General features: G+C 47.3%; 1 protein-coding gene across 1 annotated transcript in view, besides 1 other annotated feature; it reads right to left on the bottom strand.

Moving 5' to 3' along the window:
- Window positions 1-22,241, bottom strand: part of RANBP2 (RAN binding protein 2) — a 1,122,820-nt gene that overhangs the window by 149,390 nt on the left and 951,189 nt on the right. The gene's annotated exons all lie outside the window — the stretch shown is intronic.
- Window positions 21,308-21,808: an enhancer, noted in NCBI's record as "H3K4me1 hESC enhancer chr2:110428681-110429181 (GRCh37/hg19 assembly coordinates)". NCBI's record gives its function as "activates a minimal SCP1, AML or CMV promoter by ChIP-STARR-seq in naive H9 embryonic stem cells {active_cell/tissue: H9 hESC(naive)}" and the evidence as "EXISTENCE:reporter gene assay evidence [ECO:0000049][PMID:30033119]".

The following is a 22,241-nucleotide window of genomic DNA, read 5'->3' as shown; positions in this document are numbered from 1 at the left end:
GGGAGGTGGAGGTTGCAGAGAGCCGAGATCGCACCATTGCACTCCAGCCTGGGGGACAAGAGCAAGACTTCATCTCAAAAAAAAAAAAAAAGAAAGAAAGAAAAAAGAAATACAAGTTGAATGAGTGACGGTTAAAAGATGAGGAACGAGGCGCATGTGGGCCCTTCCCTCTGCAATTTCAGAGGTGAATTTATGCAGGCAGCCACTTAGCTGCTTCTTGGGAAACCAAATGATTGACTTAGGGAAAGGAGAAATGGCACCGGGCCGCAGTGGGGAAGTGGGCCTCCCTCCCACAGGCTTCCTCGCTTTCTCCCACACGGCCTCGGCCTCCAGCTGAGCCAAAACCAAACAAAAACCCAAGGACCTTCTTAACAAGGAGAGAAGCAGACGGCCTCTCAGCTTGGATTTTGTTTCTCTCAGTTCTGCTCTCACATTTGATTTTTATTGAGATATAATTTGCATACTATAAAAACCACCCCCTAAGGTAAACAACTCAGTGGTTTAGAGTCTGTTCTCAGAGTTGTGCATCTGCCACCACCGTAACCACTTTAGAACACTTTATTACCCCAAGGAGATGTGCCACCCCTCTGCTGTAACCCCAGCGCCCTCCCCACCGCCCCCAGCCTGAGGCAGCCCCCTCTCTGCCTTCTGTTTTATGTGTTTGCCTATCAGAGACAGTTCCCCTAAATAGAATCACGTACCATGTGGCCTTTCGTGTCTGGCTTTTTTCTGCTGCCACATTTTATCCACTCCTGATTCAGAACACAAAAACCTAAAATGTGCAAGGGATGGATTTGGGTTTGATAGGCAGAAATTGAAAACTGATCATGGGCCGGGCATGGTGGCTCACGCCTGTAATCCCAGCACTTTAGGAGGCCGAGGCGGGTGGATCATGAGGTCGGGAGTTCAAGACCAGCCTGGCCAAGATGGTGAAACCTCGTCTCTACTAAAAAATACAAAAATTAGCTGGGCACGGTGGCGGGCGCCTGTAATCCCAGCTACTCGGGAGGCTGAGGCAGGAGAATTGCTTGAACCTGGGAGGTGGAGTTTGCAATGAGCCGAGATCGTGCCACTGCGCTCTAGCCTGGGTGACAGAGCAAGACTCTGCCTCAAAAAAAAAACCAAAAAAACTGATCATGAACTTTCCAGGGGGCCTAAAGTTGGAGGTGGAAACAGGGCTGCATGTGTCCAGGGCCCCCACAGAGGCTCTGTTTTACTCTATAGATTTGTGTTCTGGTTGCTTGTCCCTCCCTATCCCCTCCTTACCCCTTCTGGGGGCAGAAGGAACCAGAGCTTGCAACCCAGGAGATCACCTGAGGTACCCCCAAGTCCCCTTTTTGGAGGCTGGCAGAACTCTCGGAAATTCATTCTAGACCTAGCCTGGCCCCTGAAGCTAAGCTGCCCTAGCCAAGTGCAGGGTAGTCCTGGGAGTTCCTGCTTGGATCCAGCTCAGAACAGAGCCCTAGAAACAGGCCTGAGTGAGCTCAGAGACCAGCCCCACCAGGCCCCGGTCCAACCCAGCCTTATGCCTGGCAGCACTGATTGATCACCGACCTGTGGCTCTGGGTTGCTCTGTCCGCATGTCCCCACGTTTAGACCGAGACCACTATTGCTAATGTGGTATCCACTAAAAACCTGTCATCTAAGAGAAATTTCTCTCCCAATAGTCCACAGCTGATGGGGCCTGGTTGCGTTACTTGAACATCAGTGCACTTTTCCATTTTTCTTTAAACACACTTGCTAGGCTTCTGGCAAGGGCTATTGTAAACACTTCCCATCATTCCTACGTATTTTTAGCCTCAAGTTCTGCAGTGCCAGGAGAGATCCAAGGTCTTTGCTCTGTCATTTGTAAAGAACCTGCCTTGCAGCAGGACAGAGCTGATTGCTCTGGTGTTTATGGTTGAACATTGTCAAACCTGCAGAACTGGCTGTCCCTGATCTAGGAGGTGCCCCATCAATGACATGAGAAACACAAAACAAAGCCAGGACTAGGCTGAGAAGAGATAATCACAAGGTCAATGTCCAGAACTCCCTAGTTACTGAGTGTACATGAAGGAAGAAGGTGGGGCAAAGGGAAAAAACAAAGTCAGGAAGGGGTAGGCCTAGGCTTAGCAGAATTCTACCCCCCAACACACCCCACCCCCAGCCCTGCCCCGCATTCCCCTTCCATACCCAAGGTGTTTCTCAGGAGCTTACTGATGGTGAACGTCTGGAAGGCCGGCCTGGCTCGTCCCTCACTGGCTGTGCTGCCTTAAACAACTTGCTCATTCTCAAGGGACTCTGGGATTCCTCTGCCCCTGGGTGGCTTCCTTTGTCACACGTGCCAGGAGCATGCTAAGAACGTAATTAATAAGGCTACTGTGAAAGGAAAATAAATCTTGAGGCCCCTAAATCACTAAGCTAAATGGGAAAGTCAAGCTAGGAACTGCTTAGGGCAAACCTGCCTTCCATTCTATTCAAAGTCATCCCTCTGCTCACTGAGATAAAGGCATATCTGATTGCCTTCTTTGGAAAGGCTAATCAGAAACTCAAAAGAATGCAACCATTTGTCTCTCATCTACCTATGACCTGGAAGTGCTCCCACAACTTTGAGTTGTCCCGCCTTTGCTTCGAGTTGTCCCGCTTTTCCAGACCGAACCAACGTTCATCTTACATATGTTAATTGATGTCTCCCGTCTCCCTAAAATGTATAAAACCAAGCTGTGCTCTGACCACCTTGGGCACATAGCAGGACCTCGTGAGGCTGTGTCACTGGCATGCATCCTTAACTTTGGCAAAATAAACTTCCTAAATTGGCTGAGACCTGTCTCAGATACATTCAGGGTTCACAGTACCATGGTGGGTAGCTGTTTCCCTCACTGGACCAATAACTCCTAGAGAACAAGCACCAAAGAGCTTTGATCTTTGTGCCGTACGTGCATACCCCCAATAGGTACATAATCCAGCTCAGGAAATTTCATAAATGCTGGTTAAATCGAATACAATTTAGGTAAGGAGAGAGAGTGAACACAGATACTAATTTTTGGAGTTCAGTTATCACTTTTTTTTGGAAAAACATTTTGTTGTTCAGAGACACTTGGCAATGGAATAACTCTTAACAAAAGAGCAGTATTTATGAGTTAAGTGTAGATAATCCAACCCATATGGATGAAATTTCCCTTTAAGTGCTTGACTATGCTTTTAGAAATTGAGCAGAGATGAGGGGGGAAGGAAGGAAGAGAGCGTTTGGCAGAAGGAATTTTAGAGTTTGCTGAACCAGAATGTAGCGGGAAAAAAATCTCAGTTGAAGGCCTGGCTGGATTTTGTCATTGCTAATGAGAAGCAGGTACTGAAAATATGCTACAGCTCCTTGCAAATCTTACCAGGAATTGTTGCCTGCTGACCTCTCTGCTCTTCTATGCCTGCTGACCCCAGATGCTAGCATAGGATAAAGCTGCCCAGTTTAAATGTACATTCAACCCTGTTATTTGTCCTCAATGGATTTGAAAAAAGGTGTTAGAATTCAGGCTGCAAAGGTCCATCTAGGAGGCCTATGGAATGTCACATGTCCCCCAACCTATGTGCACCTATTTGGCAAGCTCTCTCTGCTGCCCAGGCATGCTGTTGTGGGTCTTTCCAAAAGCCTGTCTGCAGCTCCCAGGGCTGTTCCTAACTGCCTACCAGATTTTCAGGCAGAGGTAACAGGTTCCTAGAAAATGTCATCCAGGCCGGGCACGGTGGCTCACGCCTGTAATCTCAGCACTTTGGGAGGCCGAGGTGGGTGGATCACCTGAGGTCAGGAGTTCAAGATCAGCCTGGCCAATATGGTGAAATCCCGCCTCTACTAAAAGTACAACAATTAGCTGGGCGTGGTCTTGGGTGCCTGTAATCCCACCTACTCGGGAGGCTGAGGCAGGAGAGTCGCTTAAACCCAGAAGGCAGAGGTTGCAGTGAGCCGAGATCATGCCATTGCACTCCGCCTGGGTGACGAGTGAAACTCCGTCTTAAAAAAGGAAGGAAGGAAGAAAGGAAGGAAGGAAGGAAGGAAGGAAGGAAAATAAATGTAGGCCAGGAAAGGAAGCTATAGACAGCATTGAGGAAGAGGAAACAATTTTACATTGATTCTTTTTTTTTTTTTTTTTTTTTTTTTTATTGAGACAGAGTCTCGCTCCGTCACCCAGGCTGGAGTGCAGTGGCACAATCTCGGCTCACTGCAACCTCCGCCTGCCGGGTTCAGTAGACTCTCCTGCCTCAGCCTCCTGAGTAGCTGGGACTACAGGCGTGCGCCACTACGCCCAGCTAATTTTTGTATTTTTAGTAGAGACAAGGTTTCACCACGTTGGTTGGCCAGGATGGTCTTGATCTCTTGACCTCGTGATCCACCCACCTCGGCCTCCCAAAGTGCTGGGATTACAGGCGTGAGCTGCCATGTCCTGCAATTTTACATTGATTCTAAAGGAAAAGTAGGGGCTCCAACAGAGTCTCTTTTCAGCTCACAGGAGGCTGCCCATGTCAGGGGACTGCAGGGGTCGCGCTCCTGAGAGTGTGCCCAGGAAGGACAAGTGTTCACTGGAGAGCCTTCACAGAGCCAAAGCCATCAGAGGATGTCCTCTGAGGAACGAGGCCCAGTCTATACAGCAGCTTGTCCCAGGGAGGGGTTGCCAAGGCCTGGACCCCAAGATCTCATCCACAGGGCACCATAGGCCTCAGGAGGGCCTTTCCTGCTGTTGCCCCGAGAAATAGGCAACTCTGTGACTCCTCGGGACTGAAAACCAAACAGAACGTACACTCCAACAAGACAGGTCACAGCCACACATGCGGAGCAGTTTCCCAGCCAGGCATTGCTGGTCCCAAGACCCTGGGGTGTCATTTTCCTTCTGTCTTACCACCCTCTCCCACCCAGGCTCTCCTTTCCTATCACTATTTTTCTGTTTTCTGGTTTGTTCATGTCATCATTAAAATCTCCTGACCCAGCCTGGGCAACATGGCGAAAAGCCCATCTCTGTTAAAAATACAGAAAAATTAACTGGACATGGTGGTGCACGTGTGTAGTCCCAGCTACTCAGGAGCCTGAGGTGGAAGGATCACCTGAGTCCGGGAGGTCTGAGGCTGCAGTGAGCCATGATCGCACCACTGCACTCCATCCTCAGCAACAGAGTCAGACCCTGTTTCAAAAAAAAAAAAAAAAAAATCCCCTGACCTGAGGAACTTTGGAAGGCAGTTCTGTGGCTGGATCCCATCAGGCCAGGACCATAAGAATGGTACAGAGTCGCTACAGAGCAGGTGTGGATTTTCTCCTCACAGGGGCAGGTGTACACTCAGGTTGAAGACAGTAAATGTACTGTGGTCGAGGAGAGCCAGGTTTCCCACAGCTGGAGAAATAAGTTACAAATGAGGCTAGGTTGAACTTGTGGTGCGAGATTGGCCTCACAGGTGTGGATATGAATTCATTCTAGAGCCCATTCTAGAGCCCATTCTCCAAGAAGAGAAACCAGGGCTCCTCAGAGAGGAGCTGGTTCTAGGGATGGGGCAGGGAAAATACAAGATGGGCCTGAACATCTTATGGAGCCAAAATATAAGAAGTGCTCAAAAATCAAATGGGGACTATCAAAAGGATACAGGGCTCAGCATGCAGGAGCTCATGACGTTGTTAATTATAACCCCCAAATAAAAGTCTTTGTTGATACAAATAAATAACTGAATGAGCCACTTAATTGAGTGCATTGAGCCCTACAAGTGGCGGGCAAGGCACACAGACCCAGATGTCTCTGCTCATGGCAGCTACACAAAGAAAATCCTCGTGAGTGAAAAAAAAATCAGATGTTCTCTATGCGGGGGAAGAGGCTGTATTTAAAGGACAAATATCTTTTATAAAACATTTATGGGACTATGAGCATTATTTTATTTACATAGGCATATTTAGGATGTAAGCTCTTTCCTGTTCAAACCAGCAACTTTAGGATTAGGAATGAAAACAACTTTATGTACATTTATCACATCTACAATGGTTTAAATGAAAGTACTGAAACTGACCAGGCACAGTGGCTCATGCCTGTAATTCCAGCACTTTGGGAGGCAGATCGCTTGTGCTCAGGATTTCCAGACCAGCCTGGGCAACATGGTGAAACCCCATCTCTACAAAAAATACAGTAAGTTATCTGGGCATGGTGGCACACACATCTGGTCCCAGCTACTCAGGAGGCTGAGACAGGAAGATTGCTTGAGCCCAGAAGGTGGAGGTTACTGTGAGCTGAGATCATGTCACTGCAGTCCGACCTGGATAATAGAATGAGACTCTGTCTTAAAAAAAAATAGTAAGAAGCCGGACGCTGTGGCTTACGCCTGTAATCCCAGCACGTTGGGAGGCCGAGGCGGGCAAATCACGAGGTCAGGAGTTCAAGATCAGACTGACCAACATGGTGAAACCCCGTCTATACTAAAAATACAAAAATTAGCCTGGCATGGTGGCGGGCGCCTGTAATCCCAGCTACTCGAAAGGCTGAGGCAGGAGAATGGCGTGAACCCGGGAGGCAGAGGTTGCAGTGAGCCGAGATTGTGCCACTGCACTCCAGCCTGGGCGGCAGAGTAAGGCTCCGTCTCAAAGAAAAAAAAAGTACTAAAACCAATTGACTTAAACATGATTTGAGCTTGATGCTCCAGTTTAACCTAAGAAGTGTCCAGCCTCCCGTAGAACTTCCAGTGGCCACGGGCTCAGGGCTTAACTTGCTTCAACACAAACCCAGGGCCCTCCCCACCTTTCTCCCAGCTCCCCACAGCACTGCCAGTGCTCCCCAAGATACCAATGTGATTGAGCAAAATGGCGAAACCACCTAAAAACTAAAAATAAAAAGGTATTGAGATATGAAAACCAGAGTCTGGGAGACAAGGAAATTCTAAAATTTATGAAATTAACTACAAGCCCCTCTAAAAATAACTGTTCTGTGAAATTTTCCAGGCATTTTTAAACACCCATATATCTTCCCTCGTGGTTTAGATTTTGTTTTTTGGGGGGGTTTTACCCAAAACTCTCTCTCCTCCTTTTGTTCCATGCTCTTCCCAACTCTCCAGCAGCTGATGACTCCAGAAACCATTCGTCCTCACTCTGTCCTTGTCCCTCCCTTGCCCTCTGAATCTGAACCATTTCCTCCTTTGTTTTGTGACCTTCATATAACCCTTCCCACAAACTGACAGCCATTTAAAATAAACCAGAACCAGAACCACAGCAAACCAGCAACCCCAATCCACATGCCCTCTGTGAACCTCACTGACTTGAACATTGCTGTTGATCTCATGGGGCTGCTCTGCCCAGCAGGGGAGGTCCACCAGGCCGTGCAGGGGGCAAGGGCTGCTCCTATCACAGCCTTCCACATGCTTGCAGCACCCAGCAGAATGCTGTGCACAGGATGAGTGTTCAGAAAACAGCTTTTGCGTCAAGATCAAAACACACGCTAGGTTTCTGAGGGTGTGAGAAGCATGACACTTCATATGTTGCTTGTGAGTATGTAAACTGGTACAACCTCTACAAAGGCAATTTGACAATATTGGCCAAAATTTGAAATATACATACGTACCCTTAGATTCAGGGATTCTATTCTTCAGTAATTATCCTAGATATACTGGTGTAAGTGCGAACCTATGTACTCATGAGCGTATTCATTGTGACATTGTTTGTTCCACATGTTCATCAATGGTGGCCTGGCTAAATGATCATGTGCACATCTGCACAATGGAACAGTATGCAGCTATTAAAAAAGAAAGAGGGCTGGGCGCGGTGGCTCATGCCTGTAATCCCAGCACTTTGGGAGGCTGAGGCAGGAGGATCATCTGAGGTCAGGAGTTCAAGACCAGCCTGGCCAACAAGGTAAAACCCTGTCTCTACAAAAATACAAAAATTATCCAGGCATGATGGTGGGTGCCTGTAATCCTAGCTACTCGGGAGGCTGAGGCTGGAGAATCGCTGGAACTTGGGAGATGCAGACTGCAGTGAGCTGAGATTGCGCCACTGCACTCCAGCCTGGGTGACAGAGCGAGACTCCCATCTCAAAAAATTAATTAATTAATTAATTTAATTTAATTTAATATTAAAAATATGTAAGGCCAGCTGGGCACAGTGGCTCTGCCTGTAATCCCAGCACTTAGGGAGGCCGAGGCGGGCGGATCACCTGAGGTCAGGAGTTCAAGTCCAGCCTGGCCAACATGGTGAAACCCTGCCTCTACTAAAAAATACAAGAAGTAGCCAGGTGTGGTAGTGTGCACCTGTAATCCCAGCTACTCAGGAGGCTGAGGCAGGAGAATCACTGGAACCCGGGAGACAGAGGCTGCAGTGAGCCAAGATCATGCCACTGCACTCCATCCTGGACGACAGAGCAAGGTTCCATCTCAAAAAAAAAAAAAGCCCGGGTGCAGTGGCTCACACCTGTAATCCCAGCACTTTGGGAGACCGAGGCAGGTGGATTACGAGGTCAGGAGTTCAAGACCAGCCTGGACAAGATGGTGAAACCTCATGTCTACTAAAAATACAAAAATTAGCCGGCCGTGGTGGCACATGCCTGTAATCCCAACTACTCAGGAGACTGAGGCAGAAAATGGCTTAAACCTGGGAGGCGGAGGTTGCAGTGAGCTGAGATCATGCCACTGCACTCCAGCCTGGGCGACAGAGGGAGACGCTGCCTCAAAAAAAAAAAAAAGTAAGACCGGGTGTGGTGGCTTACGCCTGTAATCCCAGCACTTTGGGAGGCTAAGGCGGGTGGATCATTTGTGGTCAGGAGTTGGCAACCAGCCTGGCCAACATGGTAAAACCCCATTTCTACTAAAAATACAAAAATTAGCCAGGCATGATGGTGCATGGCTGTAATCCCAGCTACTGTGGAGGCTGAGGCAGGAGAATCGCTTGAGCCTGGGAGGTGGAGGTTGCAGTGAGCCGAGATCGTGCCAGTGCACTCCAGCCTGGGGGAGAGAGCGAGACTCTGTCAAAAAAAAAATAGGGTTTTGCTTCTAATAATATTTGGGGGAAACTAAAAGCATTATTAAACTTTAAACCAGATGAAAGAAAAATATGAAATAGTCTCCACTCAGAGTGAAAATGATGAATAACTGTTGGCACACAATACCAGTAAAGACACAGTGAATTGTCAAAAAGGGACCCCCAAGCAACAGTGCCCTGAGGAGTCACAAAAGGTCGGGTGGAGAGTGCCGGGCCTGGGCAGGAGGTTCCTGGAAGTGATTTGGGCAAAGGGTCCTGCAAGGTCAGCCAGACAGAGAGTGTGCTTAGTGGAGACTATGAGTCCAGCGCTCGGTGGAGCAGTACGGCCGGCCAGGCGCATGGTCACTGACCAGAGAAGCCCAGGCCCCCAGCCAACATGAACATGGGAAGTGACTGGCCCATGTATTGGAAGTCGTATTTACTCTGTGTCTGGCCTCCTGAGAGTCTACTTAAGACCCCCTGCCCATGGCCATTGCAGCTGGGAAACTTCCTCTTCACCCCCAGAAGGTTCACTGGATCAACTCACAAAAAGGCAGATTAATAAGAGAAAAGGCATGCAAATGTATCACCACCGTGCACACCGCAGAATCACAGTGACAGCCTGACATCCTAGTGTGTACAGATTCTTATATACCCTACTTCTAGGCTGGGCACAGTGGCTCACGCTTATAATCCGAGCACTTTGGGAGGCCGAGGCAGGCGGACCACCTGAGGTCAGGAGTTCGAGACCAGCCTGGCCAATATGGTGAAACCCTGTCTCCACTAAAAATACAAAAATTAGCTGGGCCTGGTGGCAGGCACCTGTAATCGTAGCTACTTGGGAGGGTGAGGCAGGAGAATTTCTTGAACTCAGGAGGCAGAGGTTGCAGTGAGCCGACATCACGCCACTGCACTCCAGCCTGGGCAACAGAGCAAGACTCCGTCTCCAAATAAAGGAAAAGTATACACCCTCCTTCTTAGGGAAAAGGGAGATGGGGAAGTGTGGATGATTGAGCGGGGGTGGTAAATGATTTTTAAGGGAATTCAGTGGGCTTGAAGAACATACAATGGTCTGTGACAAAGTCAGGGCCAGGGAGCGGACAGTGCTTTGTGACAAAATGTCCAGGCTTGTTGACAGTCTTCAGTCTTCCTTCCTGTGATATGGGTTGGGTTTTTTGATACATATATATAAATAATAGAGATGGGAGCTGCCATGTTGCCCGGGTTGGTCTGGAAATCCTGGCCTCAAGCAGTCTTCCTGCCTCGACCTCCCAAACAGTTAAGATTACAGATATGAGCCATCACACCTTACTATGAGTTCAGTTAATGAAAACAAAGGGACGGGGCCAGAGGTACTTGGGGAACAATTTTTCTCCTTGGCAGGTCTGACCCGTCTTCATGTAGGTAGGGAAAAAGTGTCTTCTACCATCTGCTGATCCCTAAGGGCCTTTAATTCAAAATACCATACCAGGGAGCCATATTTCAGGTGAAGTTCCCTGTGGCCCTTCACCACTCACAGACAGCTGGAGCAAATTTCCAAAGCCTTTTCCGCCCTTTCTGGAGAGGCAGCCCCATCTAGCAAATACAGAGTATCCAGCCATGTCTGAATTTCAAATAAACAAGAAATTTATTATAAGTACATCTCGTGCAATAGTTAGGAAATACTTATACTAAAACATTCATTGTGTATCTGAGATTCACATTTACCTGGGCATCCTGTGTTTCTATCCAGCAACTTTACTGCCAGGCTCACTGTCAGGGTCCCTCCCCCTTTTCCTTTTTCCCAACAGGAAATTATATTTTGACAATATCTTGGATTATTTTCAAAACATTATCTCACCATTTACAGTAATGTGTTTATTCTTTTCAAAAGAACATCCCCTTGCATGAGAGTACTGTTTCCTCAACTAGTCTGGTTGAAAGAAGAGCCTGGGGTCCTGGACCCCACCTCAGACCAACCAGATCACAACCTCCAGGTAACAGGCTTGGGAACCCGTGTTTACAGCAAGTGCCTCAGTGATGCCATCACACAGGCAAGTCTGGGAGATGCTGGAAGAGAGGCCACCTCTCTACTCCAGAGAACACAGTAGATCAGTCCCACAGGGAGTTTGGTCTCCGCTGAGCGGGAAGAGCCTCTTGGCCCATGGTAAGTGCTCCATGAAGCTCTGTGGGCTGAATGCCGGGCAAGAGCACACACACAGATCAGGCTGTGGGGACATGTTGGGGCCAGTTGCCCTCCCAGGGGATGCCAGGACCCCACAGATGACCTCTATTGGCCTCACTGCTGTCTCCTGAGACCACCCAGGGCCCTGCCTCCCCCTTATGCTTCTCCAGCCTCGGTGCTGTGGGACTCATTGCCACTTTTCTTTGAATTCTTGGGTTTCTGTGCTTAGCCTTTTAAAAATCATTAAAGGTAAAATGTTCTTTTAAACTCACCTAAAAGTTTCCTCCTCTATTTTTCAATGCTACTTCATTACTCTCCATCTTAAACATCTATCCCCACCTCCAACCAAAGATATCTTCATAATCCTGCCTTTCTTTTTTAATGTGAACTTTTACTGAAATGTAATGTAAATTTAGCAAAGTGCTTGAATACGTGTACAAATAAGAATTTTCACAAGGTACAGGCATGCGTATAAGCAGCACATTGCTGAGCACAACCTGGAAATCCTTAGACGCCCCTTTCCAGTCTCGAGCGCCCCTTCTGAGAAACCCTCCTCTGGAGTCCTAACTTCATACATTAGTAGTTTTACCTCTTTCTGAACTTCACATAAATTGAACCACCCAGTATGCATTCTTTAGTGTCTGTCTCCTCCCACCTAACCGTGTGTTCATGGGATTCCTCCGCATCGAGAAGACTGCAGTTAGTCCACACTAGCTGCTTACTGTCCACCATTGTGGGGATACAAGTTCTGCTGTTGATGGACATTTAGTTTGCTTCTAGTTTTTTATTTTTACAAATCGTATTCTTGTACATGTCTTTCAGGGACTGTATCTATGAATTTAGGAGAATTGCTGGGTCACAGTGTGGGTGAATGTTTAACTTTCATAGATAATGTCAACAAGTTTGACAAAGTGGAATTTATATTTCCAGCAGCAAAGCCCCCACTTGCTCTGCGTCCTTGCCAACACTGGGTGCTGTCATTTTTATAGCAGCCATCCAGGTGGGTGCACAGTCCTACTTCTCTATTAAATACAATTTTTTGCAAAGTAATCACTTGAAAAAGAAACATCCAGACTGAAACAGGAAAGGTCTGAAAAAAGGTGAGATTCCGGTGGCTGAGAAAGTGAGCACGAGGAAACAGCCTGCCCTGGGGGTCAGCTCAGCGCCAGGGGAAAACAGGTGATGGTGATAATAATAAGTGGTTGTTAACTATTCCCACATGGGAAGTGCTGCTCAACACACATTTTTAACATTTTTGACAACCTTAAGAGATAACTACTATTACTTTCACTTTACACATGAGACACAGGGATGTTACATAACCTTTCCTGAGTTTCCAGCTTAATTATTTTTTCCCTCTCATTAAGCACACACAATTCTTTTATTTTATTTTATTTTATTATCTTTTTTTAAATTTTTTTTTTATTATTTTTTTTGAGACAGAGTCTCGCTCTGTTGCCTAGGCTGGAGTGCAGTGGCGTGATCTCTTGCAGTGGCGTGATCTTGGCTCACTGCAAGCTCCGCCTCCGGGGTTTACACCATTCTCCTGCCTCAGCCTCCCAAGTAGCTGGGACTACAGGTGCCCGCCACCATGCCCGGCTAATTTTTTTTTTTTTTTTGTATTTTTAGTAGAGACAGTTTCACCATGTTAGCCAGGATGGTCTCGATCTCCTGACCTCGTGATCTGCCTGCCTCAGCCTCCCAAAGTGCTGGGATTACAGGTGTGAGCCATCACACCCGGCCCTCTTTTATTTTATTTTTATTTTTATTTTTTCTCTCTAGGTTACCCAGCTTTAAACGAAACTGCCCGCTGTCTTTCACGAAGCATACAACACTTTTGACTGATTTCGTCTGCTCACAAGATGGGCAGGGTGGTCCACACTGGCGATTTGCCTCTTGTCTCAGGGTCAAACAGTGTCAGCCACTGATTTCTCCAGCTGGCTGGAAACTTATTCACAGTGATTCTCAAACTTGAATTGTGAGCTTTGTAAACTGTGTTAAGTACACATTCACATTCCAAGGCTCCAGCCTTTCCTCCCTTGCATTCTGTTTGAGTAGGTCAGGAATGGAGTTAGGACCCATTTGTAACAAGATGCCCTGGGAATTGCTATATAAGCAAGGATGGTCTGATTGAGGCAATGTGGGGTTTGGAAATTTCTACTCTAAGGAGTCTTGAAGCCAAGTAACCAGAGATTACTGCAGGCAGCTGGAAAAGGCAGCACTGAGGAGAGCCTTAGGGTCATGCCTCCTCATCTATCCTGGAGCCGGTGGGTGTAAATGCATTTAAGTTTTACTTTTTAAATACACACATATGCACAGAAATGTATGTGTGTACATGTTCAACTTTCATAGACAATGCCATATATGTACACACATACATACATAATATAGTGATCCACATTAGTCATGGATTCCACATTTGCAAATTCACCTACTCTCTAAAACGCATTTGTAACCCCAAAACTGAGTACTCATGGTGCTTCTGTGTTCATTTGCAGACATGTGCAAAGCTGTGAAAAATGTGAGTTGCCTGACATGCAGTTCCCTGCCACGGTCAAACAAGGCAAGGCTCTGCCTGTTGTTCTCTGCACACAGGGTCTTTTCTTGGTCTATTTAGTGCCACATTTTTTGCATTTTGTGCTTTTGGGTGGTGATTTTGCTGTTTAGTGTGGTCCCCAGGCAGAGTGCTGAAGAGCTAATTGTTCGTAAGTGCAGGAAGGCTGTGATGTGCCTTCCGGAGGAAACACACTTGTTAGAGAACCTTCATTCAAGCATGAGCTACAGTGTTGTCCAGTGTTCGAGGTGCCTTTATAGGACACAGCTACTGCCGGCTTCCCAGCCAGACTGAGAGCTCAGGGTGTGGGCAGCGCCTCCTTCCTGCATTCCTAGCTCCAGTGCTGTTCAGCTTCAGTGGAACCTGGTGAGCACCGCTCTCAGCAGGCTGAGCTTCCAAGGGCTCTACGGCCACATAGGGCCTTCTCTGTACCCACAGAGACTAGCAGGGAGCTCTTCTTCAGCCACTCGTGCAGCCTGGACACCCCACCGCCTGCGAACCTTCTCCCATGTGGAAGCTAGTAGTTACCAGAAGGAAAGGAAAAACAGTCACAGAGCATGCACTGCACATTCTTGGGCACAGTTCAGGGAAATTGGTCCCATTTATGACTCTTAAATTCATGTGTGCCTTTTTCAGTGCAAATATTTCAAGGAACTTAAGTATATACAAAGGTTCTCTGCATTACAGATGGGCAATGAATCCAAATGTTCTTTCTGGGCTAAGCTGGTTAGAAAAACATCAGCCACATTGAGAGAGCAACTCTGTCTTTGGTGACCAGCTGGGCTTTGCGATCCCTGGTAGGGCCAAGCCAGCATGCAGGAGGGGTGTGGGGAGCACCCCAGGCCCAGTGGGTAGCCAGCTACAGCTAAGCGAAGGGTCCCTGCAGGGAGCAGAAGGCAGGCTGTGAACTCTTGGCAATCCTCCTAATGTCCCTCTGATACACAGGTTAACCTGCTAACAACAAAGTAGTTCTTGGGTGTGAATATTGGGGATCCTCCGTATTTTTTGCTCTTGTGATCCTTTAAAAAATTATATAATCTGAGCTGAGACAGAAAGATCTTTCCTGCTTTTAGCTGAAATAGGTCAAAAAACTCTTGCTGTAAGAATTGCTTGGTGCTGTCCATTCTGAGTGATGGAACAGTGGGGAGGTGTTGCTATGCAACACTGCACATCCTTCCGAAGCCCATCATCTCCTAGCAACAGGCGGTGGGGTGCGACCCCCCTGCTGCGGGAGCCACCACGGGTGCACTGCCTGATGCCCATTTCAGTCCCCTCTGGTCACAGGCATTCACTCTTGCGACAGCTGGACTTCTTGAGCGCCTACAAATCCCCTTACCAGGAACCGGGGATACAGAAATCCAAAGTTGAGGTCTCTGCCTTCAGCGGGAGTCCAGCCTGGTTTAGAGTAAGACACAGAAACAAACAAAAAACTGTATCATCTCAACAGTTGACCTCAGAGTTCTTCCTCAGGAAGGCCTTGGCTTTATTTAGGAAAGATCTGGATAAACTTCTGGAGCACGACAATTTGGTTCACGAGGGCACAGCTGTTGTCAGAGACAGGGATTGGTGGTTGGAGTTACTGAAAGAGAGGGGAAGAGAAGGCAGGACGTGCACAGGTGGCCCAGCTGTGAGAAAGCCTGGCTGGAGGACCACTTTCAAGAGTGATATGGATTTTTAAGTGCTTTGCTTTTAAAAGTACCTCTGGCGACCCATACAGCTTCAGTAAACATTCTGTGGCTCCCAGCAGAATTCTGTTCACTGTTACCATGGAAGCAGTGATCAAAGAGAAGGGGCTCTGTTGGGTACATGCCAGGGCAGAGGTCAAGGAAAAGTCACGGATAGGGACAAAGAACAGCTTGACCAAGGCTGAAAATTGGCACAAAGGCGACCTTGAGAACACAAGCCCCCTGCCCCCAAGATTCAGAGAAACGTCGGGCAGGACACTGACTCCAGTCTGAGAAGCTGGGTGGTGGGATCTGAATGGGTCCTATCCAGGTCTGAAGGGTGGGGAGCACCCACTGACTCCTGGCTGGCTGGTGACAAAAGTGAGGGGAGGAGCTTCCAGTTCTACCTGGGAGGCAGGGAAAGGTGCCCAGAGGAGGTGATGCCAAGTAAACTCCCACAGGAGGAGACAGGAGGAGGTGCTGATGAGAGGGCTCCAGCCAAACAAAGGGAGCAAGGGCCCATCTGCCCATCGGGTGTCAAACCTCTGAACATGGAGAAGTTGTTATTTAGTGAGGTGTGGGGCAAATGTGGAAAACCTCAGACATGACATTCCAGCTTCGGAAAAAAAAATACATTTTTTTCTCAAATTCAAATCTCACACCAGGATGGCTTTGTCTACCTTCAAAAGTGGTGCCGTATCTAGACATAGATGATGGCTAGATGGATAGACAGACGCCAAAGAGAAACCCATTACCCTCTCTCAAGAAGATTGTCTGAGAGCGTATTCTCAGAGCAGCCTCTGATGCTGGGCGTGGCAGAGCTCACAGAAGGACTAAACTTTTCAAAATTCACACTGTGCTATCTGGCATGCTGAGTCAGTTTGCAAAGCACTTGTGTGGATAGTATCTGGCTTGCCTCCTTATTTCAGGGAGACAAAAACCTACTTCTTGTCCCTGGCAGTGCACAACCCCTCCTTCAGCAAGTTTCCCAGCCTGTGGTGGCTGCCCCGAGGTGCTTTGCCAGCTTCCCTGTGTCTGCTCTGCCTCAGTCATCTCAGGGTGCAGGCAAAGCCAGCCCTTCTACCTGGCAGTGCTGAACTAGGAAAAAGTTTGCTCAACAACACTGAGCAGCCCGCCCCGCAGATGGGTGCACTGAATGTGTCTGCACTTGTCAGGTACATCTGGCTTCTGCATTCAGGACAATTACAGGGCACTCTGCAAAATTACTTACTGAGTTGGAGGGCCTGAGAGCACTTCCGTTGTGACAGTGGAGGCGGGCACTGGGAAAGGCTGCCCTTTAAAGGGTGATGGAGGTGCTAACGGAGAGCCCGGCTCCCAGGCTCACTCACACCTTCCAGGGTGTGGACGTGGTAGTCAGCAAAAAGCAAGGGCTTCTCCCAGCGCATGGGTATGGGGCTGGAAGAGGGAAGGGCACAGGGGCCCTCTGGCTCTTGTCCTACCAGCTGGTTGGGAAAGGCTTCTCATGAGCGCTTCACACACAGAGCAAGACTGATGGATGTTACAAGGAGCCACCTTGCATGCCGGTGTCTGTTGAAGGAATGAACGTGTGGACAGCGCGGGTGCATAGATCTAGTCTTCCTCACTGGCTATGGTGCTCTCACTGATCCACGTGCTCCCTCTGTTCTTACAGGAACCAAACAGTCCATTTCGAGGTGGAACCTCACAACAGCTCTCTGGGCCCTCCCAGACACACCCTGGGGTGGGGACAGGAGTGTGCTTTAGGGCCGGGGCCGCCTGGAGTTGTTCTGCTCCACAGTTGTCAAACAGACCCACCCTCAGCAGAGTGGCAGGACGAGAAAGGCAAAGGAAGGAAGGAGGCCTGGGCTACAACTGAGGTTGCCACGGTTTCTTTTTTTCTTTGTCTTTTGCTTTTTTCTTATTTTTTGAGACAGAGTTTCACTCTTATTGCCCAGGCTGGAGTGCAATGGTGGGATCTCAGCTCACTGCAACCTCCGCCTCCTGGGTTCAAGAGATTCTCCTGCCTCAGCCTCCCAAGTAGCTGGGATTACAGGCGCCTGCTACCACACCCAGCTAATTTTTGTACTTTTAGTAGAGACGGGGTTTCACTATGTTGGCCAGGCTGGTCTCCAACTCCTGACCTCAGACCATCCACTTGCCTCAGCCTCCCAAAGTGCTGGGATTACAAGCATGAGCCACCGCACCTGGCCAGTTGCCATAGTTTCCATCTCTGCTAAGGGTTTGCCCTCTGCCTCTGCGGATTCGATTCAGAAAGTGGTGCTGTTAGTATACCAGGAAGAACTTGCCTGTGAGCCTGGTCTGAGAACTTTGCACTTTGCCAAGCTGTCCTTCGAGTATAACGGTGATAGACAAACATTCTTCAAGATCAGACAGAGGGACACAGCACCCAGGGCCCTTTAAAAATGTAGTTGAACATAGTGAGATCCTGTCTCTACAAAAAGTAAAAATACAAAATTAGCTGGGCATGGTGGCACATGCCTGTGGTCGAGCTTACTGGGAGGCTGAGGTGGGAGGATCCTTGAGTCCAGGAGTTCAAAGCTGCAGTGAGCTATGATTGCACCATTGCACTCCAGCCTCGGTGACAGAGAGAAACCCTGTCTCTAAAAGAAAAAAAGTAGCTGAAAATGAAGTCTGGCCAACTAAGAGATGAAGCAAAATAAGACATGAAGTGAGGGAGAAGCCATGGGGAAAAGACTGGAAAGAGAGATGACTCCATGTAAGCAAATAGTTAAAGCTACACTATGGAAGAAATTATGGTTTCAGAATAAAATGTAAATCTTGACAGGAGAAAGCTAGCAAACTCAGGGGGCTGAGGAGAGGAGGGAAGAGGAAATGTAAGAATGTCAATTTCCTTATTCATAACAAGGAGTTAGTAGATACTGCCTGTAATTGAAACACATAAAATCATTACTACTTATTAATATTTTTCATAAACCCTTTCCTTAATTTTAGCAGGTTATTTTAGAAACTAATATTTTTTTTCTTTTTTCTTGTTTTTGTTGTTTTGACATGGGGTCTCATTCTGTCGCCAAGGCTGGAGTGCAGCAGTGCAATCATAGCTCACTACAGCCTCACAACCTTCTGGGCTCAAGCAATCCCGCCTCAGCCTCCCAAGTAGCTGGGACTACAGGTACATGCCATCATGCTCGGTTAATTTTTTTTTTTTTTTTTTTTTTTTGGAGACACAAGGTCTTGCCATGTTTCCCGGGCCGGTCATGAACTACTGAGCTCAAGCGATCTTCATGCCTCACCCTCCCAAGTACCTGGGACCGCTAGTATATTTTGTGATGAGGAAATATTTTTCTGAAATTCAGCAGTTTCTACCATTTTACTTCATTTTGGGGGGGGGTTGTTAAATTCAAGCACAATTATCTTCAACATTTATTGTTTAAAATAGGATGTAGGCACTAAGCATAAAATAAGAAGCTGGCATCAAGAAACAACATTAAAGGAGTGCTGGGGAGGCCAATAGGATGTGAAAGGTATTTGCAACATAATACTAACAAACCAATGAGAAAAAGGTGAACCTACCCAGTAGAAATAAATTGGGTGAAAGACTTGAACAGGCACTTCACAAAACAGATAGTATCTCAGCTGCCCAATAAATACATGGAAAGGTGCTCAACCTCATTAGTCTTCAGAAAAATGCAAATTAAAACCACTAGAAGCTATGGCATCACACTCAGAATAGCCAAAATGAAGGGGGAAAAAACCTGAAAATATCAAATATAGACAATGGAGATCCCTGGAGCTCTCATACATTGTTGATAACAGGGTAAATGGGTATAGCTATCTGGGAAAACTGTTTGTTCCCCTCCCCACCTCCCCTCCCTCTCTCTTTCTCCTTCTTCCAACCACCACCTTGCCCAGCTAATTTTTGTATTTTTAGTAGAGATGGGGTTTTGCCATGTTGGCCAGGCTCGTCTCGAACTCCTGACCTCAGGTGATCCACCTGCCTTGGCCTCCCAAAGTGCTGGGACTACAGGCATGAGCCACTGCACCCAGCCCACATCCACAACTTTCTTTAGCTGTCTCTCCCCTACTAATTTCTGATGCCCACCCAAATCAAAAAGGTCAGGTAAAGCAAGGCAAAACAGAGCAGAGCCTTAGATTTTGAGAGGGACCTGTCTGTTTACAGCTCTTGGGGTTCCATGAGAAAAACAGAGGTTTCTCCCAAAATGGGGTCTGTGGCACCTTCTGTTTTTCCCAAAGCATCCCAGGCTGTCAGAAATTACCTTAGGTCCTCTCATGTGGGCAAAAAGATTGGCAACAAGACCTACTACGGAAATAATTCAGTCAACTGGGAAGAAAAAGAAACACTTAGTACTGTCCCCATTGTAAAGATGGATAAACTGAGGCACCATACAGTTTAAAAATTCATGTTCACATAGAGTTAGGCTCCACAGCTCACTCTTAACCATCCCGTAATTCTGCTGACTCTATGCCCAGTCACCGAGGCACCTGTATGGTAGCTCACGGCCCCCTTAGAGCTTAGAACCTGGATTTCATTCCTGCTCTACAGCTACGTAATTGAACAATTTTCCTCTGAATTTGTTGGATTCTAACTCTATATATCTCAAGTTTTATTATTTCTGAATCTCAAGAGGGGCTGTGATGTCTTTAGTAATATCAAACAACCTATAAACAAAGGACTAAATGAGGTTTAGCAGTATTCAAATTTCTATATGCTTTAAAACATTGAGGCAATGTATTGAGAAACACACCTAAGAAACTGCAACCAATCTACTCTGGACAAAAATTTAGACACTATCTCTATAAAATAAGCTATCTATTGATACTTATGCATATTTGTACATATATCAACAGTATTTACATGTCATAACCTTAAAATAATTTAAAAGTGTCAAAATTACCGGCCTTATAAATTTCTGTAGTCTTGAAAGAAATGATACAATATAGATTACTTGTTTCTTTAAAGTAGTCAATAAAATGCATAAACTTCTAGAGAAATCCCTTAAAAAAACAGTTCATACCGAAGGTAATAATACGTAACACTAGGAATAAAAGAGGGCCCAACACTGCAGGTTCTTAAAGACAACAGTTACTAAAGCCTTGTTTTTGGTTATTAACCTTGGCCTTAAAACAATTATATACATAATCCTCCGCTTCCTTTTCTTGTTGCAAAGATGTGGTGATGAACCAGATTTGCTCATGCAGATGGCAATACTCTTGAAAATGGTGGCAGAGAAATAAAATGAAGGGTATATGGTTCACTCAATGATCTCATAAAGTGGAACTTATTACCCACCCTGCCTCTTGCATATCTCCAGACTAATATGTGAGAGAGATGAAATGGCTGTTTGCTACCAATATTTTATTTGATGCTTCATTTTTTGATTCCTTGAATAACAACTTACAATGCATTAACAGGAAAGCATAGCTATTCAAGGAACTAAATAATTATGCAACTAATTTTTTTCCTCATCTCTAAAACATGGTAATGGACCAATATTTTAAAAATACAACACACTGGTGAGTAGTTTATTTTTAACTCAGTTTTGGTTTGTTGCTTGTTAAGGTCATTGCTTGGGAAAAAGAAAACAAAAGACGAGGAGGAGGAGGAGAAAGTATAGAAACAAGAAATAGAAGCAGGAGCATAAGCGAATGAAGAGGAACTAGATGATGGTGATGAGAAAAAGAAAAAACAGACTGGAAGAAAGTAGGAAAAACAGGTGTGGGAATCAAATGGCCTATAAGATACCTTTTTTCCCCTTCCTGATTCATGAAATTTGAAAAAGTCCAAGACCATCAACAAAAAAACAAGCAAAAAGATAGACACCCCTTAAATTTCATTAAGAGTGAGATAATGCTACACTCATGGCTGGCTCAGGTGCCATACCTTTTTTCCCCTTCCTGATTCATGAAATTTGAAAAAGTCCAAGACCATCAACAAAAAACAATAAAAAAGATACACCCCCTAAATTGTCACCCCTTAAATTTTGCTAAGAGTGAGATAATGCTCCACTCATGCCTGGTTCAGGCACCAGCAGGAGGAGGGCACCCTCCAGATTCTCCAGGAGAAGGGGGAGGACTCCTCCTTGCCCTGGCTGCACCTCCAATGAGGCCCATGGTGCAGCAACCACAGCTTCCTACCTATGCCAGGCCAGCCGAACCCTGAAGCTCCTACTCCCCCTTCCCAGCCCCCAGACTTGCTGCTGCTGCCACCACTGGCACTGATGCCAATACAACCACCACTGCTGTCACCCTCAATGCACCGGCCCTCCCTACAAGGCTCCTACCACATGGCTACTGCCACAGCCCTGCCCCTGCCCTGGCTGCAGCTGGCCACCTCCTACCACTCTGGCATGCTACAGTCTCTGTCACCACCACCAACTCACAGCGAGGCAAGCTGCAGGACCACAGGCTCCAGCCTCCAGCCTCCAATATCCAGCAGGTGGATCCTCCTTCTCCTGGTAGGAAGCAGCAGTGTGGGCAAAGCCAGAAAAACCTAGACCAGGTTGCAGGAAGTGGTAGCGTTACAGCATCACCTTGTCATGCTGTCCACTGGGTGGCAGGGGCCAGTTTCAGCGAAGGCACTCACACCCACCCTCCGAAGTCCAGCCTCTCCTTTTGGCCCAAGCTGGCCAGGCACTGGGGCCTGGGGTGGGGATTGGAGACACCATAGTGCCCAGCTCCCCAAGCCACAGGAACCACTGGGCCCACTGAGGCTGCACTCCTTGGGGAGCAGGAGCAGCAGAAACTCAGACCCAGCCACCCCCAAACCGAAGTGTGGTTGCCATTCCTGATGCCTCCACCCACAGGGCCCTGTCCCCTTGTGATTCCCCCAACTCCATGCCCAGAGATCCCAGGCTGTCTCTGCAACACAGAGGAAGAGGGCACAGGCCCTGGACCCACAGCAGGTGTGGGGGCCCTGCCATGCTCAGGATTCCCATGGAA

The sequence above is a fragment of the Homo sapiens genome, chromosome 2 (genome assembly GCF_000001405.40).
Source record: "Homo sapiens chromosome 2, GRCh38.p14 Primary Assembly".
NCBI lineage: Eukaryota > Metazoa > Chordata > Mammalia > Primates > Hominidae > Homo > Homo sapiens.
This window is presented reverse-complemented; position numbering and strand designations above follow the sequence as displayed.